The sequence below is a fragment of the Homo sapiens genome, chromosome 21 (assembly GCF_000001405.40).
Source record: "Homo sapiens chromosome 21, GRCh38.p14 Primary Assembly".
NCBI classification, from domain to species: domain Eukaryota; kingdom Metazoa; phylum Chordata; class Mammalia; order Primates; family Hominidae; genus Homo; species Homo sapiens.
The window spans coordinates 45,852,889-45,880,070 of NC_000021.9; the positions used below are offsets into that span (position 1 = coordinate 45,852,889).

The 27,182-nt window shown below is 53.2% G+C and overlaps 1 protein-coding gene and 1 long non-coding RNA gene across 27 annotated transcripts in view, besides 3 other annotated features; both read left to right on the forward strand.

Moving 5' to 3' along the window:
- Nucleotides 1-27,182, forward strand: part of PCBP3 (poly(rC) binding protein 3) — a 298,726-nt gene that overhangs the window by 209,164 nt on the left and 62,380 nt on the right. Inside the window, exon 6 of one of the 26 annotated variants that reach the window (NM_001348242.2) lies at nucleotides 10,777-10,871. The gene's annotated coding sequence lies outside the window, so the exon portion shown is untranslated. 26 annotated transcript variants of the gene reach the window in all.
- Nucleotides 1,742-2,418: an enhancer, noted in NCBI's record as "H3K27ac-H3K4me1 hESC enhancer chr21:47274544-47275220 (GRCh37/hg19 assembly coordinates)". NCBI's record gives its function as "activates a minimal SCP1, AML or CMV promoter by ChIP-STARR-seq in primed H9 embryonic stem cells {active_cell/tissue: H9 hESC(primed)}" and the evidence as "EXISTENCE:reporter gene assay evidence [ECO:0000049][PMID:30033119]".
- Nucleotides 2,419-3,094: an enhancer, noted in NCBI's record as "H3K27ac-H3K4me1 hESC enhancer chr21:47275221-47275896 (GRCh37/hg19 assembly coordinates)". NCBI's record gives its function as "activates a minimal SCP1, AML or CMV promoter by ChIP-STARR-seq in naive and primed H9 embryonic stem cells {active_cell/tissue: H9 hESC(naive and primed)}" and the evidence as "EXISTENCE:reporter gene assay evidence [ECO:0000049][PMID:30033119]".
- Nucleotides 5,533-6,732: an enhancer, noted in NCBI's record as "BRD4-independent group 4 enhancer chr21:47278335-47279534 (GRCh37/hg19 assembly coordinates)". NCBI's record gives its function as "activates an origin of replication core promoter dependent on BRD2, P300/CBP, MED14 and CDK7 cofactors, and independent of BRD4, by STARR-seq in HCT116 cells {active_cell/tissue: HCT116}" and the evidence as "EXISTENCE:reporter gene assay evidence [ECO:0000049][PMID:35650434]".
- On the forward strand, nucleotides 6,028-7,438 carry LOC124905044 (uncharacterized). Its single transcript, XR_007067913.1, has 2 exons — nucleotides 6,028-6,115; nucleotides 6,814-7,438. It is a non-coding gene; the product is annotated as an uncharacterized LOC124905044 (long non-coding RNA).

The window sequence follows — 27,182 nt, forward strand, 5'->3', positions numbered from 1 at the left end:
AACTTTTATAGAAAAATGGGTGAAGGATCGGAAAGACAGTTTACAGAAGAAGAAGTACAAAAGGCTGGTGAAGAGATGTGCAAACTCACTTCTTGTCTGAGAGATGCAGAGTGACATGGCGTGTACACTTCCCACAGCTGAGACCAGCAGGAGCGGGCAGTGGACTCGCACCAGGCATTGGGAGCAGATGCGGAAAGTGCACATGCCGCTGGCCAGAGGGGGTGGGCTGGCATGTCTTCTCTGGAGCCTGCTGTGACCTGGCATGCTGTCCTGCATCTCTGTGGTGACAAAATCTCCACGGGTTCATGGAGACAGATGCACACAGCATCTCCTTGTTGTGCTCCGTGGATGTCGGGGTGGAAGGTGACCTCAGTGCCCCTGCCTAGAAGAGTGAAAACCTAACTGTGGCAGAAGCCAGATGCCGTGGGTTGGGTGTGCCAATGGCCCTTAAAGGCAGGGCTGGCGTTACTGGTGGAGGGTGTCCAGGTTCTTGGCGTTTTGAAAAAATAATTGGACAAAACACACAAACAAAGCAAGGAAAGAATGAAGCAGTGAGAGCAGAGATTTACTGAAAATGAGAGCACAGTCCACAGGGTGGGAGCAGCCCGAGCAAGCAGCTCACGGGCCCCAGCGACAGAATTTTCTGGGGTTTCAATACCCTCTGCAGGTTTCCATTGGTTACTTGGTGTACACCCCTGTGAATGGAGAGGGTGTTCCTGTCATGGCTGAAGTGTTTGCATTTGATTTAGTTCTAGGAAGACCTTAGGTTTCTTCCCTGCAGGCCCTCTTCTCCTGCCTCACTGGGTTAAAAAGCTAAGAAACATGAGTGGTGTTAAACCATTCTGCCTGTGTGAGTACAGACGCGTGCATAGGAAATTAAATACACACATACTTTGCAAGAGCATATGTGAGTAAGAGTCAGGCACTCGGTGTTTTAGAATGGGCTCCTGCGTGGTGGCAGTGGCAGGTGGTGGTGATAAGGGCCGGTGAGAATAAAAAGGAGCCGATGGTACGGGGCAGGAGCCGCTCCCAGGAAGCGGTGGTGCCGACGTGTCATAAACTGATATCCGCATCTCAGCCTCTGTGCACGAGGCTAGGAAGAGAAGAGATTTCCAAAAAGGTAAGAGTGGGGCGGGGGGGACAAAAACGCAAAGAAACACAAAGAGCAGCATCCGTGTGAAGTTGGGCCTGGGAGAGAGATGGAAGGGGTGGGATGAGGCCTCTACGTTTCACAGCTCAGTAACCTGGGCCCTGAGAGGCTGTGCGGTTTGTTCCATGCAAGGGCCAGCCTGGACTTGCAGGCTCAAATACGACTCCTCCTGCCCTGCATGTGTGTCAGCTACCACACATGCTTTTTTAAAATTTATTTTTGTTTTTATTTTTAGTTGTTGTAAAATGTACATAACATAGAATTTTCCATCTTAACTATTTTTTAGCATACAGTTCAGGGATATGCTGGGCAGCCATCACCACCATTATCTCCAGAACTTTCTCAACTTTTTGAACTGAATCTCTGTCCCCATTAAACCCTCCCTCCCCCAGCCTCTGGCACCCAGGATCCTACTCTCTGTCTCTAGGAATCTGACTGCTCTAGGGACCGCTACACGTGGAATTATATGGCATTTGTCTGTTTGTATCTGGCTTCTTTCTTTTAGTCTGCTGTCTTCAGGGTTCATCTACACTGTGGCATGTGTGAGAATGTCCTTCCTTTTGAAAGCTGACCGATATCCTGTTGTATGTAAAGACTGCAGCCATCAGTGGACAGGAAGGCTTCACCCGTTTGGCTGTTAGGAGCGGTGCCCTTGTGTGTGCCTATCTCAAGTGTTTTATTCTTTGTGATGCTATTGTAAATAGAAGTGTTTTCTTAATTTCCCTCTTGGATTGTTCACTGTGAGGAGAAGATGCTCTTTGATGAGACTGAAATGAAGCTGGGTGTGGGCTCTGGGTGGGTGGAGCAAGCACTCCGAGCCTCTGCCCCGCGGAATGCAGTGGTCTGAGAAGTAAGTAGCAGGAGTGCTGGAGGAAATGGAAACTTACGATCTCTCCTGCCTGAGTTCACAGCAGGCTGAAACCCAGAAGATGGCAGAAAGCTGACAGAGAGCTCCAGGAGGAGCCTCTCGGAACAGCTCGAAGAGCAGGAAAGGGGACCCTAGGCAGCCTTATGGCGACAATAGTGGTGCCAGGAATGGCCAAGGGGGTCCGCAGGGGCCCCCAGGCTCCACCACGGAGGGAGGGAGCCTTCCTCTCCAAGTCTGGCAGCGATGCCCAAGTGCCTTCTCTCTCTCTGCGCTTTCCCACAGCTGATCCTGGAGGAGTGCACCTGGGAAGCCAGTGCACAGAGCTGGAGCTTCCCGACTGCAGGAGGGAAAAGAGGAATCCTGGGATCTGGGAGGCACAGGGAGGCCAGCACAGACGCAGGCTCCGGAAGCCCACGGAGAGGGCTGGGCATTCTCCCACACTCATCCCCAGCTTCACATACACACATCCGCCCTCAAACAGCCCATCACAGACCTTGAGAACCGCACCATGGGGTGGACTGCTGCCCAGTTCCCAGACCCCACACCCCACCAGCACAGAGGGGGGCATGCGTGGGAAGGCCTGGAGAGCCCTGCAAAGACCGAAACAACCAACGTGGGAACCACATACAGAGCCCCTTAGAGTTGAAGCCTGAACCCAACCAGGCCGGTTGCCTCCTACATCTGAGATATAAATGCTCTCTCTGGGATTTAAATGAGACCCAAGGCTGCCTCCGTACCCCGCCACCCTAGGTCTGTGCTGCAGGCCATGCAGTGTGTGGGGTCAGGCCCACGTGTCTGTCTGCCTTCTGCCCGGGATCCAAGTGCCCGATGGCCTGAGGGCCGGACCCCACACAGGCACAGAACGCGCTGCAGAGGTGACAGGCGGGTGGAACCCAGGGAGACAGAAAACCTCCTGCCAGGGAAGTTGCTCGGCTTGGAGAGAGGACTAAACTCTGACCTTTTTCCTCTCTTGCCCAAATTCCTATCTAAGGAGCCTGGGGAGTCACACCGTACAAACCGTAACATCTCATGAGACAGGTTTTATTTAACCCAATATAACGTGGCTTTTCAATCTGACTGTGGCTTCACATCACATGACAGATAAAGTAGGAAACAGAAATATTTTACCCCAAAATATGTTTATTTGCCATATTTTGAAATGGGCCTCCAAAGCCATCTTTTATGGGGGAAAGTTTGCATCTGTAAAGAACCTGTATTAACATAACTGGATCTTTCCCCTTCCAGACCCTCCCAATCCTGAGGAGCCTGGCTGAGAGTCTAGTGCCTTGTGAAGGTCTGAATAGGAAACATTTGCCATGTATTGCCTCTAAGGGTGGACACCTATGAGATTTCATCCACATAATAAGGACCTTGGTCTCCACAGCCCCTTCTCTTAACCCAGACACTCCTTTCTATTGATTCCAGGCCTTCAGATAGTAACTTAACTCATTCAACCAAGTACCCATCAGAACATCTTTTAATTCATCTGATAGAGCTTGGATATTTGCCCTACCCACATCTCACATGGAAATGTGATCCCGAGTGTTGGAGGTGGGTCTGGTGGGAGGTGTTTGGGTCATGGGTGCGGCTTCCCCATGAACGGCCTGGGCCATCCCCTGGTGATGACCGAGCTCTTGTCCTTGAGTTCACAGGAGACCTAGTTGTGTAAAAGTGTGTGGCACGCCCCCCCCACCCCCGCTCTGCCCCGGTGACGTGCCTGCTCCTCTGCCTCCCGCCATGATCGCAAGTTTCCTGATGTCAAAGAAAAAAGTCCAACTCTGTAAAATATTTGAAGAGATTTATTCTGAGCCAAATCTGCATGACCATGGCCTGTGACGCAGCCCTCAGGAGGTCCTGAGAACATGTACCCAAGGCGGTCGGGTACAGCCTGGTTTTATTCACTTTAGGGAGGCATGAGACATCAATCAAATACATTTAACAAATACATTGGTTTGGTCCAGAAAGGTGGGACAACTCAAAGTGAGGGCTTCCAGGCTATCAGTAAATTTAAACATTTTCTTGCTGACGGTTGAGTTTGTCTAAAGACCTGGGATCATAGAAAGGAAATGCTCAGGTTAAGATAAAGCATTGTGGAGACCAAGGTTCTTCTGAAGTCTCATAGTGGCTGTCCTTAGAGACAGTCGATGACAAATGCTTCCTGTTCAGACCTTTAAAAGCTGCTGGACTCTCAGTTAATCTCTTCAGGATTGGGAGGGCCTGGGAGAAAAAGATCAAGCTATGTTAATAGAGATTCTTTACAGATGCAAATGTTCCCCCACAAAGGACGGCTTTGTAGGACCATCTCAAGATATGGCAAAGAAACATGTTTTGGGGTAAATTATTTTGTATTCTTTGTCTCATAATGTTATGCCAGGTTGGAAAGTAAGTCACAATATAGGGTTAAATAAAACCCATCTGATGAGAATTTATGGTTTGTAGAGCATGACTCCCCAGAACCCTTAGATAGGAATATAGGCAAGAAAAAAAATCAGAATTGAGTCCTCACGGAGGCCCCTCTCCAGAAGCCAAACAGATGCCAATGCTGAGCCTCCTGTATGGCCTGCAGAACCCTGAGCCAGCTGAAATCCTTTCTTTATAAATTACCCAGCCTCAGGCATTCCTTTATGACAATGCAAGAACAGCCTAATACACCACCTATAACCCCCCACCTTTGAGCTGTCCTGCCTTTCTGGACCTCAAAGCAGAGCACACCTCACTATATCTCCCTAAACCATATAAAACCAGGCTGCACCCCAGCCACCCTGGGCACAAGTTCTTAGGTTCTCCTGAGGCTGTGCCTCAGCCATGGTCACTCACATTTGGCTCAGAGTAAATCTCTTCAAATATTATTTTGTAGAGTTTAGCTCTTCTTGTTGACAGGAGCCAGCATGTACCAGTGACCAGAAAGCCTCAAGCCCTGGTGCTGGCTTCTCTGCCACTCTTGGACCCATGAGCCCTGGATGGGATGGGGAAACAGGGCTGCCCCCCAGGGCCTTGCTCTCCAGTGTTGACGGAGGTGTCGTGGGAGAGGCTCGCAGAGGGCAGGGGTGTTGCCTCCCCCCACAGCCAAGCCAGGCCTCCCCCATTCCCACACCCTTCCCACTGACCGTGCTCCTCAGACCCACCCTGCACTCCTGCCTTGCGGGCCATGCCCCAGGGAGCCTCATGGACCTCCCTTACCTCCCTCCAGTCTCTGACCTGTCAACCAAAATGGGATTGTGGCAGATCTTAATCCGCTCAGAGGTTTATTTTGCCAAGGTTGAGGACTCGCCAGGGAGAGAGACAGAAGTTACTGTAGGACCTGTTGCCTGGGATTTTTCCGAAGAGACTTTTAGGACTTTCGTATTTGAAGGGGAAAGAGCTGGCGGGAGGCGGTAGAGGACCTGTCATCTACGCACGGTCTCTCCAAGAATCTGCATTTCCCATAAGGTGAAGTAAACCTGGAGCAGAGGAAGACATGCATGTGTCTCGGGCTGGGCGGAGGAGGAACGGCTTCTCGTCTTGTCTTAGTCCTGTACCTGTGAAGATAAGCTGTTTATTGACACTGTCAGGGTGAGAGTCAGCAGGACACTGCCTTAGGGTACAGACTGGGGCCCAGAGGGCATTTCCGTGTGGGCAGCTGGTGAGGGAGGCCCCTGGGGAGCCTCGCAGCCTTCTATCTGCAGCTGTCTGCTTAGGACCAAAAGGAAGGCCACCTTTGCATGACTCTGTTCCCAAACTGAACTCCTCGTCATAGTGGGTTTGGGGTCCTGAGATTTTATTTTCCTTCCACAGTTCCCAGGTCCCCCTTCAGTGAGGTCTTCCTGATGGATGCTGATATGGTCTGGCTGTGTCCCCACCCAAATCTCATCTTGAATTGTAGCTCCCACAATTCCTACAGGTCATGGGAGGGACTCAGTGGGAGGTAAGTGAATCATGGGGGCGGGTCTTTCCCGTGCTGTTCTCGTGATAGTGAGTAAGTCTCATGAGATCTGATGGTTTTCTAAAGCATAGTTCCTCTGCACGTGCCCTCTCTTGCCGGCCACCATGTAAGACGTCCCTTTGCTCTTCCTGCATCTTCCACCATGATTGTGAGGCCTCCCCAGCCATGTGGAACTGTGAGTCCATGAAACCTCTTTCCTTTATAAATTACACAGTCTCGGGTATGTCTGTATTACCAGCGTGAGAACAGATGAATACAGACGCCATATAAAACCCCAATCCAGCCTTTCCAGCCTTGTCTGCTGCCACCAACTCCTGCTGCTTGTCCACTCCTTTGCTGGTGTCACCGTCCTTGGGATGTGAGCTCTGTGAATGCCCGGCACTGTGCTGTGGTATCAGCAGGTCCCCGACCAGGAACAGCTGAGCCAGGAGGGGCCGTGCTGCAGAGGTGGCCAGCGGGTCAGCCGGGCCGGGAGGCGCTGTGCAGCAGAGGTGGCCAGCGAGTCAGGGTACAAGGCCAGAGAGGGTTCTCTGAGAGAGAATTGCATCATATGGGGGTTCCCCTGCATGGCTATGCATCAGAAGCAGGGATGAATCCATTTCACACTCTCCCCATTTACTGCTTCAGAGCCCCTGGGGAGGAAAACTCCCAGGTTGCCCAGGAAACTCCAAGGTGGCCCTTGGGACCCTGGACAGCTGGCCTTCCACTGGCTGCCAGCCTCACCCTGGCTCCCTGCCTCTGCTCAGGGAAGGCCAGTCCTAACACGCGACATCTCCCCTCTTGGAGAAACCACTAGGGGCAGCCGTCAGTGTGATGGGTGGGCGCCTGGCCCCAGAGCGGGCTCCACACTCGGCTGGGCACCTCCCTCTCCAGGGCCTGTTCCAGCACTGAGTGCGCCTTTGGGGATCGTGCACCGTGAGCAGCACAGCTGGACCCCAGGTGAGGGCACTTCACCTCCCAGGCCTGGTCTCCACACCCGGGTCACAGAGAGACATGTCAGCTGAGGAAGCAGGGCAGGCGGCCTCTTCCTTCAACACCTTTAACTTCCTTTAAATGGAGAAGGGAGGCTGCTCCTGGGGAACACAGAGGGCCGCTCCACTGTAAAACCACAGCAGCTGTGCACCAGGATGGGCCTCAGGGACCAGCCAGCCCAGGGATGGCCGGTGCCCCCACCCTCTGACAAATGCACCCAGGAGTCAAGCATGGGGGTGTCCTCGGCACCTGGATTGGAAGGTTCTTGCCATTGTGGATGGGGTCTAACCTCCTGGACTTCAGTGGGTAACCGAAGGCTCCAGCACGCAGCTTCAGAAAGACCAGAGCCAGGCCCAGGTGCCCTCTCCAGCCGACATCCGGGCTGTGGCCTCTGGGCTGCTTCTCCTTCCTGTGGCTTCCAAGTCCCAGGGTACATCGGTGCCCTTCTGTGTCCTGGCAGTTTTAGAGAAAAGGAATGAAGCAGCTGTATTCACATACATGTAGTAAATGTGAAATTTTCACAGCAGCACCATTAGGTCTCTAATTTTATTACGTCGAAAGTTGCATGTTGGCAGGAGTGATATGGCTAACAGCAGTTAGGACTGTGCAGCTGACTTGGTTGACATTTTACACCATGTTGCTGTCTGTGTTGAACACGCAGTTGGGGCTGCAACTTACATGGCCTTTTATCCTCTTTCTACCGAAATGGTTGGAAAACAGAAGGGTTCCATGGAGAAATGGCAGATTCTGGGTGGGGAAGCACAAATGAGCCTGAGCACATGACAGCCCCAAGGTAGAAAACCCATCGCCCTGGAGGGACACCGAAGCCCACCTGAAAGAGCCTCTCATGGCCAACAGCAAAGATCGTGCGAGGCTGCGTGACAGCGCAGAGTAAAACAGGCACAATGCAGACTGCGGGGGAGATGGACAGCCCTTCCTTACACAGGCAGTTACACACACGTGATGCAGCTGTGCCCCTCCGGCCGGCAGCGACCCCTCCCCTGAGCGTGGCCCTGGGAGCAGGATTGGTAGAGGAAACAGTGTGGCGAGGAGCAGCCCTTGGCAGCGACCCCCGTGGAGGTGCAGTGCTCGCCTTGGGTGCAAATGACTGTGTTCGGCCTCCACTCCGAGGCTGCTGGCAGTGACCCCTCCGAGCAGGGCCGCTCTGTACCTCCCCTCGCCCTCACTGGGCTCTTGGCGGCACTGAGCCAGCGGCTCCTCCTGCCCATCCTGGGCCCTGTGGAGGCCCCTGCCCCAGTTCCCCTCCTGCCTCTGGGCTGCTCCTTCCCAGTCACACCCTCAGCTCCTCCCTTCACAAGCGCTGTGGCTTGGTGTGCAGCCGCCTCCATGCCTTCTCACCTCTGCCAGCACCCCCTCTCAGCTGCTGCCTGGTCAGCTTCCTTCTCCCCACCGCACACAGCAGGTGAGAAGGCCACTTACCCACAGCACCCACCTGGGCCTCACATCTGCTGGTAGCCACCCACCTTCCACCCCACTGGCAACCAGGCCCTGCCTGCCTGTTCTGCTTTGCCTTCCAGCAGGCTGTTTGTGAACACCACAGGCCCACCCACACCAGCCTCAACGCTCAGTGTCCAGTCCTGCCCCAGCCAGCTGGGGCAACAGCCTGGGCCCTTGCCAGCCTGGGTGCCAGCCCCACCACCCAAGCTTTAGGGCCAGAGCACGCCTTGAGTGATTCTGCCATTGTTCTCCCCATCCGTAACAGGAACCCCACACCGAGAGCTGCTCAAGATTAAATTAGTCAGCAGTGCCAGATGCAGAGCGAGAGTTGTCTTAATGTGGCCACCGTATCCTCCTCCTCTTCTTCCCTGACCCCTCCGTGTTCATAAGCTCAGTGCTTGCAGACCGCACCGAGGGCAGAGCCTGCCCAGTGGAGAGGAATGGACTGGATGGCGCCAGCTGGGCCTGCTTCTCGCCCTGCACTTCAGCTTGTGCCTCCTTTGGCCCCAAAATTATAGGTACAGACTACAAGGAAATAAGAGAGAGACAGAACGGGATCCACTCAAAGGTCATGGTTTTAGTCCGTTTCTGCTGCTAGAACAAGATACCCAACACTGGGCAATTTATAAACAGAATCAATGTATCACTCACCATTACGGAGGCTGGCAATCCAGGATCAAGACTCTAGCAGGTTTTGCGCCTGGGAAGGGTCGGCCTGTCTGAGACAGCACCTTGAACGCTGCTTCCCCTGGAGGCCACGAACGCTGTGTCCCCATGGTGGATGGGATGTAAGGGTAAAAAGGACCCTGCTAGTTTTCTTGAGCCTTTTTATGAGGCACTGGTCCATTTCTGAGAGCGGAGTCTCATGGCCTAATCACCTCCTGATACCATCACACTGGGTCTTAAGTTTCAACATAGGAATTGGGGCGGGTGGGGGGACACGTACATTTAAATCATAGCAACAAACATTACATTATTAGTTACTGTAACAATTCAAAATACCTGGAATTGTCAGTCACTGCAGATTTTTATGCATCAGAATAAATGCATAAAAATGCACAAAATGCAATACCGTGGGGAATCTGCTCCCTTTTATGCAGACTTCAATATAGTAACATAGAAAAATATTTCATGTATAATAGCAAGAAAAACAAACATGGTTGGTTACTATTTTTGCTAAAAAGATATAAAAACACAGGCCTACTAGACCAAAGTCTGAATAGGCAGATCTCAAGATAACACATATCAACCGTGGTCCTTCTGGGTAATGATCAGTGACAGGTTTTTCTTTTGCATGTACACATATTCTATTTTTTTCTGTATGAACCTCCGATACTCGTTATTTTAGCTTCTTTCTTTAATAAGCAATCGACTGACTTTGCTTGGTCAGTAAGACATGCAGGACACCACACACTGTCTCTGTGCCTTGTCTGGCATCAGAAAGCTGCAAGCACATTGTGTGGGCCCCAGCAGGAGCCAGCTCAGCCTGTCCCCGACGAAACCGGGCCCTCTTCACAGCCCAGTGGCTTCTCTTTGCATTCACATTTCACTTCTGCCTGTTGTGTGTGCTTTTCCCATTACCGCCCCTGAGTCTTGTGTAACATGGTGGGATCAAGGTAAGAAGCCTGTAACAGAACAGAGGGTGACTTTCTCCTACTCTGTGGCAGAAGTGCCTAGTTTGATGGGTGGAGCAGTGTGCATCCTGTACCTCCTCTCTTGGCCCCGAGTGTCTGGGCTGTGGGGTCCTGGGCTAGGCCTTTCCACCCCACCTACCTGGGGCACAGCTGGCATCAGGACCACATTTGAGGCTGCAGCTCGTCCACTCAGCTTTGCATGGGTCTTTCTTGTGGGGCAGACCTGGAACATCTCAGTCACAACAAAGAAGAAAACAGGGAAAGGAGGGAATTTCCAGTTCATGCTGTTTCAGGTACCTCCTCCTGGTGAGGAATAGCCTCATCCTGCAGTCCATGAGGACCTGCAAGAGCGTCACCAGCCAAGCCCAGGTCAGCCCCGCTGTCCGGGTAGGGACCTGCTTTATGCCTACGCCACCCATGGCAGACTGGCGGCAGCAGCAGCAAAAGCTCGTGTCTTAGGAGCTGTGTTGGGATTAATGCTGGGTCCTGGGGTTTCTGCCCCCACCCACCCCTTCCTATTCCAGGGGCTTAGCTGCTGCGGCCGTGTGTCCTACAGGCTCGCCGGGCTGTTGAGTCGCCCCTGTTGGGGGAAGGGGGTATTGAAATGACAGCGCATGAGTGCTGGGTCCACCCTCCAAGGGCATGAGGGGAGCTGGGCAAAAAGTGGGTCACATGTGCCTGGCCCATGTCACGCGGCTCCCGCCCGAGGCCAATGGGGTGGGCAGCCTCCCTCGGTGGAGAGCGAAGCACCACTCTCCTTTTTCTCCGGTAGCATCTCATCTTGTCTAAACGGGGAGAGTGGCCATCTGTCCGATACCCACATCAAACCTGATCGTTCCCAGCCTCACAGAGCTGCTTTGTTCCAAGGTAAGGGATTGAGGGCCCTGGGTGAGCGGTCCGCGGGCAGGACGGTTGGCTGAGATTGGCTTCGACGGGAGTCCCAGGCAATGTGGCAGGCAGAGTTTGTGCTTGGTTGACTGTCGGGGAAATGCCTAGAGGAACCGCATAGCCGTGCACGATGCGTTACGATGAAAAAGCGGAAATTGTGTTAGGTTTAAGCCCGCTCAGATGATGAGGCTCCCGTCAGGCCGGCTGTTCCACTAACAGGGTTCCTTCTGAGGACCCATAGCAAGTGTCAATAATCTTCTTTACTAGTCGAGTGTTATTATTTATGGAAACATAAACGTGGCTTTACGGATGTTTATCAATCAGAGATACTGGATGTGGTATGGGAGTGTGACTCTCACCTGTGCAAACACTGGTCACCCTTGTGGGGCCAGACTTTTCTGTCTGATGAGTGCCTTCCATCACTGCTTCTGTGGGTGAACGCTGGCCTCTGAACTGAACAGGTGATTACATCCCCGCCACTAGCGTGGGGTACTGAAGTCCAACATCCGAGTGAGGCGGGGTCATGGGTGCTGCCGATGGATGGAGAGCATGCACTTTTGCAGCTTGGTGCTTAAAATGGGGAAGAACATGATTCTCTTAACCTCAGGAAGGCCAGTGAGCAGGATTTCTGTGTGATGAAGCCATCAGGGAATGCATAATACTTCAAAATGTTGAGAAAATGATGCTGAGTTTTTCAGTTCATAAGTTACAACAAAATTTTATATTTTCACCTATTGTAAATGAACTAAAGTGTTCCCTTAGCTCAGGATCCTTCTGGTGAACGTATTTTGGCAGTTGTGAGTACAATAGAGAGGGTTTGCAGTGTCTGTGTGGTGTGTCGACCATCGCTGCCATGTTTAGTCACATTTCCTGCTCCTGCTTGCATTTGCTGGGAAAAATGTTCCCAGAAATAGCTTGCCAGAGCCAAAGTCATAACGGAGTTTGATTTGAATGTGTCCTATCAGTTTTTCCTTTCAGAGATAAATATTTTAAATTTGTGTTTTAACTCGCTTTCCAGGCAAGTGGGTCTGTGACCAAGTTCATAGAAATAAATATGAACACTTTAGATTTTTAAATTCTTCTACATTTTAGTTGTATCGAATAGCAGTTGTACCCTTGATAACAAAAAGAAGCTTTTCTCTGCGTGAAAGTAATGCCTTTTGAAAACATTCTGCATTTAGGCTAATACCCAGTTCCCACCAACTACAGCCTTCAAATGAATTTCATGTAATATTTCTAAAGGACTGTTTCTTACCCACTGCCAATCTTGAGGAAAGGGAATTTTTCTCTCATTTCATTAAGATGGGGTAGAAGAATTTAATGTTTTTCATATTTATGATTATAAATGCTTCTTTTACGCTTGGGGAAAGTCCCACTTATTTTGATGCAGTTTTTAACATTATCTCCATTCTTCTGCTCCACCTGACGTGTATCCCAGAACTTGGCTTAATGGGAGCAATTAGTCATCGTATGTGGTCAGAAGACAGGGAGATGCCGCTGTAATGAGCATGCCTGCTCATGTTTAAAAAATTACAAAATCGTAGCCCACCCCCAGTCGCCTTTAGGGGAGAATGCGTACCGCTATCTCCAGGAACAAAGCATGCCCTGCGCGGCCGGTGCTACTGGATGGATATTCCTTCGCTTCTATCAGTGGAAGATATCGCTGTTCCTGCAGAAATAACGAAATGGAACAATGCAGAAGCAACAAGGTGATGTCCCCTTTGTACTTCTCAGAAGAACCTCCGTGCCTCCCGCCCCATCCGCCACTGAGTATCTCATGCAGCGGCGTGTCCTCTGGCACCAGGCAGGGACTGATGTTCTCCCTCACATTGGCCTCATTCCTCTGGGTCCTGACTCATTTGGGAACTGAAAGGGCTGCTCGGTGGAGCTGGGTTTGAGGATGGTCTTCCACAAGGCCCTGCAGACGCCACACAGCCTTCTCCATGTGTGGGGTGTGTGTTATCACCCGGAGCTGTGGGCTCTGCTCGGAAAGCGGGGACTGGTGCTGCTTCTGCACGGCCAGGACCTCGGCAGGGCAGGCGGCTGTCCTGCAGAGGCCTCAGGCGGGCTCAGGGTGTGCACCCCCCACAGCCGGAGCCTCCCAAAGAAACATTTTCACCCCAGCTGAGGTGACTGAAGGGACTCAGGGCCACAGGCCGGATGCTATGACAGGGTCTCCAGGACCCCCGCATGGACTGGACCATCTGTGGGCAGAGCCAGCAGGCTTGGCCTGTCCTGCCGCACTCCAGCCAGCAGAATAGCAGTGGGCTTCCTTCTCCAAGCATGGGCTGCGGTGTTTCAATGAAATAGGACAAGTCAGTGGCTCTCCACGTGTGACCCCTGGACCCCCCTTGCCATCACCTGAGAACCTTCTGGACCTTCTGGATCTGTAAATTCTCAGCTTTCCTCCCCACCAGACTATGTCAGAAGCACTGAGGTAGGGCCCAGCTGAGTGTCCACACCTTGCACCCAGGGCCAGGGGCACAGCCTGTGCTGTTCAGTGAGCCATCAGGTCAGATATGAACCAGACAGACCTGTGGCCCAGTGACAGGAATTCCAGGTGCACAGGCCAGGGTTCTTATCGCAAGGAAATGACACAGGGCCTGCCCCATCTGCCCTGATGCCGAGCAAAAGAGAGGCTCATGGAACGTGAGAGGAGAAGGGGCTGTGGAGAAAATGTGGTCCTGCTCGCTCATGGTTAAGGTTAACAGGAACCCAAGACAGAGGCTGGGTGGGAGGGACGTTGTGGCAGAGGCTGTGAGGCCTCCAGGGGCTCAGGAGAAATGAAGGGTCTGTGTCTCTGGGGCAGGAACCAGCCACAGATGGCCTTAGGGGAGGAGAGGACCTGGGGAGGGGTCTGGTGGGAGGCGGGGGTGGCTGGAGCAATCCCAGAGAGGCTGAGGTGTTCAGGCTGGCCCCAGATGCACACGAGCGTGAAGCCTGTTCAGAAGCCAGCTCCTCACACCCTCTCCCCTGCCAGAGGCTCCAGCACCCCCTCCCCTCTCCTCTCCCCTCCCTTCCCTGTGGTCCTCCTGCCCACCCCACCCCCGTCTGCATGTGCACCGTCACGGAGATGCGTGTACTAGGGCGGAGGTCGGGGACAGTCGTCAGAAGGACACAGGAAAGAAGGGAACAGGAATCCCATAACAGAACATTATCCGGCAGGAGTAATTAACACAGGCAGGACTGGAGGCTTTGTTTTGTTTTGCTTAAAAAACAGTGGTATTTAAATTAATGGGCATGGGAAGACTATTCAGTGAAAGACATCGGTCATTGAGGTATCTATTCAAAAACACGGTTTAGTACTCTGCCACACACCGAACGCAACGCCACAGCAGCCATAGAAGCGTGTGTGGCTGTTTAACGTGGTCTTTTTGGGGAGGGCATCCTAGGCAGAGCAGGCGTGGAAGGGAAGGCGGCGGACGGAACAAAACGCGGGCACGCAACGGCTGCTGCGCCGGATCTGAGGCAGGGCCAGCCTGTGGGAGCAGCAACATCGCTCGCAGGACAGCGATGGAGCCCCCACGAATCCGCGTGAAAGCAGCAACCACCTAGAAATGAACGTACAGCTGCTTAGAAACAGAATACGGATGACCCGAAAGACTTCCCGATGGTAGTCACCAGCATACAGGACCTGACACGGGCGTGCGGGCAGGGTGTGCCGCTACGGGGTCCCTGGCGCACCTGCTACCCCTGCTACCCGCATTCACCGCACGCGGAGGGTGCGGGCCGTGAAGGTTATACATGCAAATATCCTTCCACCAGCCAGTTCTCCTTCCAGGAATCTGCCACCCGACCCTTGTGTTGTGCACAGACATGGTCCAGGTGTTTGCGACGTGATTGTTTATCAGAGAGAGAGAAGGGAAATCTCCAGGCTCGCTGTAGCTGCAGGAGCTCTGGGGGCTGCGCCCATCGTGGAGACGGATAGCTGTCTCTCATGAACACAGGACAGCAAGTCCGGCTGCGGCCACAGAAGACTCGCCCTCCTGGACGCAGCGTCTTCCTTCCTCAGCCCCACACTGGAGGTGGCCAGTGCCATCCACAGCAGAAGGGGCCAGCCGGGACCAGGCTCACGCCGTGGAATTCTGCTCTGTGGTAAGAGGAAGAGCGATAGCTGGAACCCAGCGCCGTCGCACACACAGCGGGGAAGAGTCTCAGAAATGTTACTTTGAGTCAAAAAGCTGGACAAAAAAAGGCGCAAGCCAGATGGTGCTGAAGAGGCCACAGGAGGCTGGCAGCCAGGGGGTCTGGCACCTCACTCGGAGGCGCAGTGGGCCCGTCCGGAATTAGTGGCCATACGGCAAGTGCCGAGTGGACATCAAACCGTCACTTCAGACTCCTGCGCTTCACTGCCTGTCGGTTATGCCTGGGTTTTGAAATCAAGTCACAGAACACCTGGAATGTGGTGTTTACGCAGAACAAAGCGGGTGCCTCGGAGGAGAGAGCCTAGGGACAGGGGCACCTCCCGGTGTGGGTGCCCAGGGTTGCAGGGTGGCTTCCTCTGTCTGCGCGGTTTTCAGAGCCCCAGGGTCCTGCCTGCCCGGCTGCCTGGAGGCGGCCCACATCCTGCTCTGCGCCGCCGAATCTCAGCCTGAACAGCTTCGCTGGTGTTTGTGTTGACTTATTTGTTCTTTTTTTTTTTTTTTTTTTTTAAATAAAGGATTCCGATGCTGTTACAGTCAATAAAAGCCACAGGTCTGGGTGACCTACAAATGTGTGTGTCTGACTTTCTGCAGTTTAAATCGCCACTGAGCCTTAAGGCGTCTGGCCCGCGCATTGAGGAATCCACGTGGGTCTCGGGGTCCCCATGCCTGCCCAGCTCCCTGCTTCAGCCTGGGCGGGTCTGGCGGGCATTTCTGCGAGCCTGTCCCTGGGCCCGCCTCCTGGCCAGACTTCCAGAAACATTGTCCACATCCCCGTTGCACGTCCCCCCGTCACCGGAAACTGCAGCCCACAGCACTGGGAAGAACCCGGGAGGCAGGCGTTAGGACGGGGTGGCCGAGACAGGGAAGGGAGCCATGGCGGACGTCCTCACCCAAGCCAGGGCTTCCTGCCCCTGTGGTACTGACAGGAGCCCCGCAGGACGTGGGGTTGGCTTTGGGCAGCTCGGTGGACACTTCTCTTTCAGATCCTGCCACAGCAAAGCTCACGAGACTCACTTCTTCCCATTGGAATTCACTAAGAACAAATTCAACAATTCAGACGCCCCAGCTGGAGGTTTATTTTATGGATTTTACCTGTGCGGTATTTAGGGTTGTGTTTATGAATAAAGGTGTGCGTTCTGGCAAGTAGAAATACAGAGCTTGTCTTTCACCCAAGTATCTGTAACTTTCTCCAATGCAGACACTAAAATGCAATAAAAACAAACCAAACCCATTAAACATGAATTAGATGAGGCAGGCTGATGGGAGGTTGTGGGATTAACAGGCCGTCAGCGGATTGAAGCTGCGCACATCGCTGGGATGCTGCTGCGGGAGGATTCGGTCTAATCCGGGAGCATCTGGCTGGGCAGTGGGCAGCGTCTGCAGTCGTGGCTGCTTGAAGGTATGAAGGTTGTGGCCTTTGCTTCCCCCCATCAGGCTGCCCCACCCTGGACCCCACCCAGACCCCTCGGGCACCCTGGGGTCATCTTCAGCTCCCCCTTCTCTTCCTTCCTTCTCTTCCGCCTGGGCCCCTACTGTGACCCGAGGTCAGCAGAGGACCCTGGCAGGTGGCTGCTCCCTGGGACTCGACTGTGCAGGTGAGGCTTGGGGTGACCGCTGCTCCTGCTCCTGCTCCTCTCGCCGTCCCCACCCTCCTCCATCATGCTGTCAACATGCATGTGGGCTGCAGCCCTCAGCCTGCAGGACGCTGTCAGTGCAGCTCCTCAGTGGCCAGGGCAGCTCCACCACTGGGAGGAGATGGGTGTGGAGACCTCGGTGGACAGAAGGGCAGTGGGGCCTGGGGAGTGTGACCCCAGGGCCCCAGGGCCTGTCCCCTCGCCACCAACGTTGCATGCCACCACACCTGGCACCTCTTTGGATCCCTGCAGCCCTGATCACAGAGCTGCGTATGCATTCCCTCGCAGGCAGGGCCCACCAAGGTGCTGTGGCCGCACTGGGGTTTAGCACCAGTGCCTTCAAACCAGTGGTGCCTGGCCCAACCACTGACTCACACTGTGCTTAGCTTTTTAGTCGGATTTTTTTAGCTGTTAGTCACACTTCAGACTTTAATTTTTTGTGTATGTTTCTTATCTAAGTTATCTTTATTTTTATTGAATTTATTTTTGTTCATTTATTTTTTAGTTGTAATGTTATCGCTTTATCTTAATCTTCATAAATCTATTTTAACTACTTTTATCATTTATTTATCTTGTATCACTCATTTTATTCCCTTTAAAGTTTTACTCAACATTTATTATCTTCTGGGTTTTTCTTAGTGATTTTTTTTCTTTTGGGAAGATTCTTAATGGTTTTAGTTGCTTTAGCTTATATCTTTTTTAAGGAGATATTTTTAGCAGATACCATTTGTCATATTCTTAAAATATTAAGACGCTGAAAGAAATGATTTGCTAATCTAATTTTAGCTTATTTTCCTGTCATAATAGAGTGGTCTATCATCTTACCTGTGATGACGAATGAGTCTCCTAAAAACATTAATTCATGCATCCACGGGACCTGCCAGCCCCATGCACACCCTTCCTAGGGCAGCAGGGAGGCCGGGAGCTGCGTCTCCTGCTTCCCTCCTCCCCAGCCCTCCATGGAGACACTCATGACCACCGCCTGCAGCCTTGTGCGGCCAGACCCGGTTGGGAGCAGCTCTGGTTGGCTGGAAGCTCCTGGGGTCTGAAGTGATGAGGCCTGGCCCTGCACCCCGGGCTCTTCCTGTGCACAGCAGGGTTGACTGGGAGGACCAGAGGGTCCAAACCCTACTGCCACTGCCCACCGCCTGCCACGCGACCGTGGGCCAAGCCACTCAGTGCCTCTGGCCTCTGGCCTCTTTCCCCAGCTGCGTGTGTCCAGCTAGCAAGTTTGTGAGTAGTGTTACCCTGTTTCTGTTCCCACCACACTCATCCTGTTCTGAAGGCAGAGGGGATGGTGAGTCTTCTTAGGACAGGGAAGTCAGCCCTCTCATGCGCAGAACCCCTGTGGCACCTGGCCGGCCTTCACACCAGGTCTTCACACCCCTCATGAGACCAGCCAGGAAATGGGGGCCCCCAGGGGAGGCTGTATAGCCCAGTGCCAGGGAGAGCCCAGCACCCGCTGGGGAAGGCCATGCAGCCCAGTGCCCGGGAGAGACAGGAACCCCCTACAGGAAGGCAGTGCAGCCCAGTGCCCAGGAGAGATGGGAACCCCCCAGGGAAGGCCGTGCAGCCCAGTGCCCAGGAGAGATGGGAACCCCCCAGGGAAGGCCGTGCAGCCCAGTGCCTGGGAGAGACAGGCACCCCCCAGGGAAGGCCGTGCAGTCCAGTGCCCGGGAGAGACAGGCACCCCCCAGGGAAGGCCGTGCAGTCCAGTGCCCGGGAGAGACGGGCACCCCCTTGGGAAGGCCGTGCAGCCCAGTAACCCCCAGGAAGGCCATGCAGCCCAGTGCCCTGGAGAGCTGGTGCCCTGTGACTGGGGTGGGGAAGGGGCTACGCGGGGCTTGCCTGAGTCCTCCTCCCTCCACCCGCACCCAGAGACCTTCATGGGAGACACCTCCTCTCCAGGACCCCAGGGGCAGGGGTGATACTGCAGAGGTGGCTCTGGGCTTCCTCCCCCTCCCCTGCCAGGTTCTGCTTCACTCTTGCAGCCTGGGCAGGGGCGTGGGGTGTGGAAGGAGAAGCGAGTGGCCCCTTATCTTCAATCCTTGCTGGAAGCTGCAGTCCCTGAGCCTAACCGGGCCACAAGAATGCAGAACCAGCTGAAAAGAGGCCAGGGCCACTGCCCTCTCCCCGCCCTTGGCGCCAGCATGGCGGCCACGATCTTTCTGGTGCCGCGGTCTCTGACTCTGTGGGAAGAAGCATCCCCGGACTTGCCTCTCTCCTCAGAGCCCCAGTTCCATGGAGGGAAGGTGGCTTCCATGCCTGTCTCTGGGAGTTTTCCTTAAGCAGCTCCTGGAAGGGTGCAGTGGCGTCTCCTGCTGCGGTGACAGTTCCCCTGGGATGTGGAAGGTCCCAGGCTTTGGAGAACTCTCCCGGAGCAGAGGCCTCCGTCCCCCCAGGGGACGGGCTGGGCTCCGATTTGGGGGCCCACATGCATGAGTGAGCAAACACCCCAGAGGGTTGGGAGAGCGTCCGTTCGTGCTGGCGGCAGCTGTGTGCTGATGCTCCAACATGCTCCGCCTGGGCATCCAGCACGCCTTAAGTGAGCTGGAGAGGGGTGTGGACGAGGATGAGGGCTCTCCTGGGGTGAGGGTCCCTCTTCAGTGCCACATCCATGCAGACCCGTGTAGACCCAGGCTTTTTCTCCATAGCCAGGTGGGCTTTATTTTTCCTTAAACATCTTAGGTGGTTCTCAAGTAATCGGAGGCTCGTCTGCTTTTCATGCTAGCGGTGCAATGCCCCATTTTATCGTGTGTCTAAAAGGCGTCCCTGGTCCCGCATTTTTCCTAGTTTCCTCAGTTACCTCCTGTGACCATTTGCTGTAATGAAAGCTGGAAGGAGAGCTCCGTGCTGTACCCACCCACTTCTGTGAAAAGTGGGAACAAGAACACAGATTTGGAACCAGTGCTGTGCTTTTGTGTTTTGGTAAATTGTCTTTACCTTCCCTGAGCTGTTTTCTTCCATTCCTGCGGGATTGGATTCAATTCTATTTGATGGTGATGGCTGTGGACAGTACTAAGTGCCCTCCGAGCTTCTACAGTGGAGCAGCCTGCTCAGTGTCCAGGCCCCGGAGCCCGCGTTGGGGCTGCGGTCCCAGTGCCCCTGCCACTGTGTGGCTGTCGGCATGGTCCAGCTGGCCTGTGGCTTCGGTGCTTGGAGGGCTGTGGCAAGGGCTGTCTGTGCCTGGCGCGTGGTAAACATTCTATCAGTGTGTTGTTTATTATTATTTGTATGGTTATTGGGGTTCTCCTTTAATTTATCAATTATGTTGACAGAATTTGTGATATAACGATGCCCATCCATTCCTAAAATGAATCCCATTAAGATATTGTCTGATTAGTCTTCATATATACTGCTGATTGCATTTGTTCATATTTGATTTGGAACATGAGTTGGAATTTCTGTCTAGGTAGAAGCTGGAATTGCTGGGTCACAGCATGCGCCCACCATCAACCTTCCTGGGTGGCACCGAGTGGCTTTCCTCGGTGATACGGGCGAGCGGGGCGGGTCATCTGGTGTCATGTGCTCTCCCACGCTTCCTGGAGCAATTTTTGTTGGGCTGTGTCTTTACCTCTGGGGGCTGTGGGGTGTGTGCTGCGACTTTCTCCTGCCTCTACCTCCTGGCTGATGCGCTCACTCCACTGCCCTTTGGATCACGGATTGGCCATGAGGGTGTCCCTCTGGGATGTGCCTTTTCAAGACCTCTGCCCACTCCTCTGTGAGCAACCCAGAAATATTCTCTGCATAGGAACCCCTTGTCATTAAACAACTGCATGTACCTTGTCTCACTTGTGGCCTGTATTTCTGTCCCCTCACAGTGTCAGTTGACCCAAACAAAATCTTAATTCTAACGTGGTTTATCATTTCAGCCTTTTTCTTAACAGTCAGAGCTTTCTGGTGTCTGAAAACTCTGCCCTTCTCCCCCGCCTCCCAGCTCTGTGTAAATCTCCCCTGCCTCCCAGCTCTGTGTAAATGGTGTCCTGTGCTGTCTTTCAGACGCTGTGTCGTTTATGCTTCCCCTTGAGACGCACAGCACCCAAGTCCCCGTGAGGGTGGATTGATGAGGGGGTTCAGGTTTCATTTTATTCACCTGCCCGTGCAGGGGACCACGCGCTGGGTACTGAAAGGCCTTCCGCTCTGCCCATGTCTGTGCGCACCTGTTTTTCATGACCTTCTGTTGAATTATTCCATGGTCTACATGTCTGGTTTTTGTTGTTGTTGTCGTTGGGTTTTCTTGTTTGTTTGTTTTTTGAGACAGGGTCTCGCTCTGTCACCTAGGCTGCAAAGCAGTGGTGCAACCTCAGCTCACTATACCCTCCACCTCCCAGGCAGCTGGGACTACAAGCGTGCGCCATCGTGCCTGGCTAATCTTCAAATATTTTGTAGAAACAAGGTCTCCCGATATTGCCCAGCCTGGGCTCAAGTGATCCACCCGCCTCAGCCTGCCTAAGTGCTGGGATCACAGGCGTGAGCCACCACGCCCGGCCCAGGCTGGGCTCAAGTGATCCACCCGCCTCAGCCTCCCTAAGTGCTGGGATCACAGGCGTGAGCCACCGCGCCCGGCCCGCTTGTCTATTCTTATGCCACTGTCAAATGAGCTACATTGCTGCAGCTTCATGTCTAGATCTCTAGTAAAATAAATCGGCTCACTTTGACCTTTTTCCTCAGGATATTCTTGAACTGATTAATTTTTCCTGTACATTTTAAAATCAGCTTGTCTATGGAATTAATCTGTAGATCAAAATTGGGAGAATTAACATTTTAAATTATGGAGAGTTCGAGTCAATGAAAAATATGTTTTCTAATTCTCGGATCTTCTTTAATTGCTCTTTATGATGCTTTATAATTTCTACATAGAGGTTTCACACATCTTTTGTTGGGTCTATCCCAACTCTTTGCCTTCTTTCTGATGGCCTTATACATGGTATCTTCTTCTTCTTTTCTTTTTTTTTTTTTTTTTGAGACAGAGTCTTGCTCTGTCGTCCCGGGCTGGAGTGCAGTGGCGCGATCTCGGCTTACTGCAACCTCGGGCTCCCAGGTTCAAACGATTCTCCTGCTTCAGCCTCCCGGAGTAGCTGGGATTACAGGCACTTGCCACCACGCCCGGCTACTTTTTTGTATTTTTAGTAGAGAGGGTTTTGCCATGTTGGCCAGGCTGGTCTCCAATGCTGTCTTCTTTTAAGATTTGATTTTCCGTTGCTGGCTGGTGTGGGGATGTGGAGCGCCCTCACCCTGTGAAGGCATCCCTTCCCGTCACTGTGTCGGTCCCTGTGGTTTTCGCTGCCCGTGTCCCCTGTGCTGCTGCTCCTTGCTGCTGGCCTCTGGCTGTGTCACCAGCTCTGGAGTGGCCCTAGACTCACGAGAGAGCATGCAGGTCCCAAACCGAGAGTGGCTGGAGGCAGGAGTGCTGCAGGAGTGCCTGGGCCAGCCCCCTGTCCAAGTAGGGAGCTCTGCCCAGCTCCCAAAAGAGCCTCCTCACAAAGCCAGTCACTGAGCCCGAGCAGCGCGGTCGCCCCTGACGCGGCACCTTCCTTCCAGGCTCCTACCTGGCTCAGGGCGTCCAGCGGCAGCCAGACAGGCTGGGGGCCCCTCCATGTTGCGCGCTCCGGCTGACTCACCGGGGCTGGGGGCCCTTCCACGCGGCGCGCTCCAGCTGACTCACCGGGCCTGGGGGCCCCTCCGTGCTGCGCGCTCCGGCTGACTCACTGGGGCTGGGGGCCCCTCCGTGCTGCGTGCTGCGGCTGACTCTCTGCTGCACATGTGCTGGCAGCTGTTCCAGGTTGCCACATCCTGGGATTATCTTTTCCAGTAAACTGTGGGGTCAGCAGGCCCAGTACTCGCCTTGCTGCTGCTTTTCACCCCCTGCACCATGGGGATGCATTGGGTCAAGTCACACAACGTCAGAAAACTCAAATTCGATTAAAAACTCAGGTCTGCTACTGGGCTCCTGGGAAAGTGCAGAGTCAGTTGGGGCCACTCTGGCAGGCTGCAGTGCCTCTGCTTCCCCCTGGCTCAGCCTGCCCACACCAGCTTCCCCCAGGGGTCTTGGGACATCTACCAGCAATGGCCAGGGTGACGTCCCTCCCTGTCCAGGGCGAGAGCAGGACAGATACTGTCTCTGATGCCCTCCCAGTGAGCTGGGAAGTACCGCTCATTCGCAGCCTCTCCTCCTCATGCCCACTGACCCTGAGGCTACAGGGAGGTTGACCTTTGCTTCCTTCCAAGAGGGTTAAACTTCTACTGTTCACTTCTGGATCTTTCACCTATATAGGACACACATTTGAGGGCGAGGTGGGATCCGATGTTGATTTTCGGCTGTCTGGATCCCCCACTGCTCCAGCCCACAGCCAATTTCTCCACCAGACTGTGAGCCACTTGCAGACAATGGCTGTGCCCATGGCCCCGCATCCCCGGTGCCGTGTGGGAACTGAGGAAAGGTGTGGGGTGAGGAATGTTCCCGCTGGACCCTTTTTCATGGGCCAGTAGGATGTCCCTGCTGCGTTCAGCTTCCCACTAAGACTAGAGGGCCCGTGGAGCCTGAGATGTTGTGTGCAGCACCAGGGCACCGATGGAGCGGTCAGGGGCCAGAACCTGCCCTTAGGCAGGCGAGTCCACGTGCATCCATCACAGCCAGGACAGTGTCAGAGCCCAGACTTGACTCAGCTCTCAGGGTGGCCTACCCTGTCTCTCATCAGAGATATTACGAATCCCGAAATGAGCATTTGAAAGAATTGGAACATTTGTAGGAGGCACACTCTTACGTGGTTCCCAAAGGTGGGACTAAGGAACACTGGCACCATGAGGGAGCCTGGCTATGGTCAGGAAAATTCAGCATCTTCCAGACATGAGACCAGTGTGGCTGGGCCGCTGGAGCAGGGGAAGGTGAGCGGTCACTGTTCCCCACTGGCACCTTTGTCTGCCTTGACGCTGAGTAGCAGGGGAGCAGGCTGTTCAGAATGCTCGCCGAGGCCAGGCTGTGTAAGCCCTGGATGGCCTCCGAATGCCGCCTGTGACAGGCAGGAGCATGAAATTCCAGAAGCCTCCCCTGCCCTGGGTAGCCTCAGGGACATGAAGTGCATGTGAGGCTCTCAAGGAGAATGTGGCAGCTAATCTGCCCTGTCATTTCCGCCGTCCTGGCCTCGTGCAGCCTGATGCAGGCACTGAGCTGTTAAACAGGATAAATCAAGTAGGGGCTGCTGCCACCCACCCCGCACTGTGTTCCCTCCCACAGTCACATCCCCCAGACAGCTGAGGCCGTGAGTGCAGCCCTGGACAGAGCACAGCTAACGGGGGTATGGCCAGAGCCGCTGGCTGCGACAGCGCTCGCTGCGGCTGCGAGGACCCCAGATGGCGCTTTGCTGGCAAGGCTTCTCCCGCCTTCTCGGGGCAAGCAGTGGCACACAGGAGAGAGCTCAAGGCGCCTGCTGCCAGCCGCACTCACAGCTGTGTGACCGCCCTTCTACACTCCAAGGCATCTCTATGTTAATATCCAAACCTATTCATCCATCCCCCAGCAAACAAGCCTTACAACTTGGGCCTCACATGACACTTTCAAACGTGGGTCTCTTCCTTTCGGGTCTGACGGGATGTCATTCACTGTTATTTTTGGCATGAAAATAGATGATGGATTACCTCTCTGGTGGTCGGGAACCTAGGCCTGGAGCCAGCTGGTCACAGTTCAGGGTCATCGCACTGTGTCACCTCGTGTAAAACGGAGGAAGAGCTCGCCCTACTGTGTTAGGACAGCCTGGATTTATATATGGAAAAACATGGGGCTGTGGCCCTGTGTGGCCGCTGTTTCATTACACATCACTTCTTACTAGGGCAGTATTCATTTTACTAGCATTCTGTTGATTTGAATATTTTTTTAAAAAAAGAGTAACTGGCAAATTTATCAGAATTTATAGTGGTACCAGTTTTAAACAGATTTTGCCAATTTAATCAATATAAAGATGAAATGGCCAGGTGCAATGGCTCACGCCTGTAATCCCAACACTTTGGGAGGCCGAAGCAGCCAAATCACCTGAGGTCAGGAGTTTGAGACCCGCCTGGCCAACGTGATGAAACCCCATCTCTACTAAAAATACAAAAAATTAGCCGGGTGTGATGGTGGCACGCCTGTAGTCCCAGCCACTCAGGAGGCTGAGGCGGAGGAATTGCTTGAACCTGGGAGGTGGAGGTTGCAGTGAGCTGCTGTACTCCAACCTGGGCAACAGGAGTGAAACTCCGTCTTAAAAAAAAAAAATTAAATGAGGCTTTGATTCTGGTCAAATGGAGTGGGGGTACACCCCCCTGCCCCTCCCACTGAGCACAGCTGGGACTTCTGCACAGAGTGCTGGAGCAGCTCCCTTGGGACCGGGAGGCGGCAGTGGGAGCAGGCTGGAAAGGAGTCCAGCCCAGCAGGGAGCTTCCTGTGTCCTCACTGCCCTTGCCACATGGCCTGGACTCCAGGCAGCCACATACCCAGAAGTGCAGCCACAGAGAAGCTCCGCATTTCTGTCTGAGGATGGAGAGGGAGCTCCTGCTGGTTGGCATTTGCTCCACCTTCCAGTCTCTCCCATCCTCACCCCCAGGCGATCCTGTGGCAGCAGTGGCTTTGAGGGCACAGCAGCCTGACAGGCTGGCAACGCACAGGGGCAGAACTTTTCTCTCCCACCAGAGGACCTGTGGTCTCAGAGAATGAAGGGGCCCTCCCAGGGCCATTTCCCATCCCTGCCCTCCGGGGTGGGGGGGTCCTCCCGGGGCTGTTTCGTGTCTCTGCCCTTCTGCCTCTTGGCCTTAGACAGGATGCAAGTGCAGTAAGTTTCTGGCACTGTGGCAAAAGCCAGGCCCTGGTCAGAAAGCCCTGGAGATCACAGAGAGGGGCGAGTTTGAAAAGGGGATTTCATGAAGTTGTGTGTGCATTCCTGGGCACTGCCTGCCCTCTCTACGTCTGGGTCTGACCACAGACAGTACAGCAAAGGCTTTGACAAGGGGACTGCAGGGTTGATGGCCCCCAGGTCCCAGCCGGGCACTGGGTGGCACACACGTGGCACAGAGCTAAACAGCGGTGCAGAAGCTCTCAGAACAGAACAGACATTGGAGCCACAGCCCACAGAGGCTTTGGAACTAACTAGAACCACTGCCCGATAAAATAAAAATGTCGTGGTTCTGCATAAGATTTAAGTGATAACTGGAGTGTTACGACAATATTCAAACAGACCAGAGGACAACTCGACGTCCGTACTCAGCATAGGAAGAAATAGGAACCCTCAGCCTCTCCAGCTGGGAAATGAGCAACACACACCAACCTGGGATCCTTCCTGGTGGAGGATCCACAAGATCTTCAGAGCAGCTGCGCCACCGTGCTCCAGGAGGAAGGGTGAGCCCTCTCAAAATGAATGGAAAAATAGGAACTCTACGCAGGGAAAGCGAAGGTTTTGTTTGTTTGTTTGTTTGAGTGAGACAGGGTCTCACTCTGTCACCCAGGCTGGAGTGCAGTGGTGCAATCTCAGCTCACTGCAGCCTCCATCTCCCAGGCTCAAGCGATCCTCCCATCTCAGCCTCCCAGCAGCTGCAACCACAGGTGCAGCCACCACACCTGGCTAATTTTTAAAATTTTTCGTAGAGATGAGGTCTCTCTGTGTTGCCCGGGCTGGTCCTAAACTCCTACACTCAAGCGATCTGCCTACCTCAGCCTCCCAAAGTACCGGGTTTACAAGCGTTAGCCACTGCGCCTGGCCAAGGAAATAGATTTAAAGAATAAAATGGAAATTTTAGAACTAAAAAATCTAATAACCAGAATGAAAAATTCATGATGTAGACTCAATAACAATGGAAGTGACAGGGCACAGCGTCAGCAAACACGAGGACAGCTCAGTACAAATGATCCATGCCGAGTGATAGAAAAAGGACTGGGAGAAATGAATGGAGCTTCCGAGACCTGCAGACAATGCAGACACCACAGTACACGTGGTTTTTATGTGCACATGGGATGTTCCCCAAGGCAGGTCATATTCCATGTAAAAAACTAAAGCCTAACAAATTTAAAATAATTTAAATCATATAAAATGTATTTTCTGGCCACAGTAGAATTAAACTATAAATCAATAACCAGAGATAACTGGAAATTTTCCAAATACTTGAAAATCAAAACACACACCTCTAAATAATGCCCTAGTCAAAGAGGAAGTATAAAAAAATTAGAAAATACTTTGAAGTAAGAGAAAATGAAAAAAAACCTATAGGATACTAGTAAATCAGTGCCTCTAGAGAAATTTATAGCATGACAGCATCCATTAGAAAAGAAGAAAGGTCTTCAAACAATAATGTAAGCTTCCACTTGAAGAAACTTTAAAAAAAGAAAACAAAACAAGCAGAAGGGAGTAAATAATCAAGACCCAAACCCAATGAAATTAAAAACAGAACTAAGCCTCTTCACATTGGAGTAGTTCAAATAAAGGAAGGACAGAAACAATCATGGGTTTCAAGAGCTTGCAAAACGGTGGCAGTTCTCTGCTGTCTGCGTT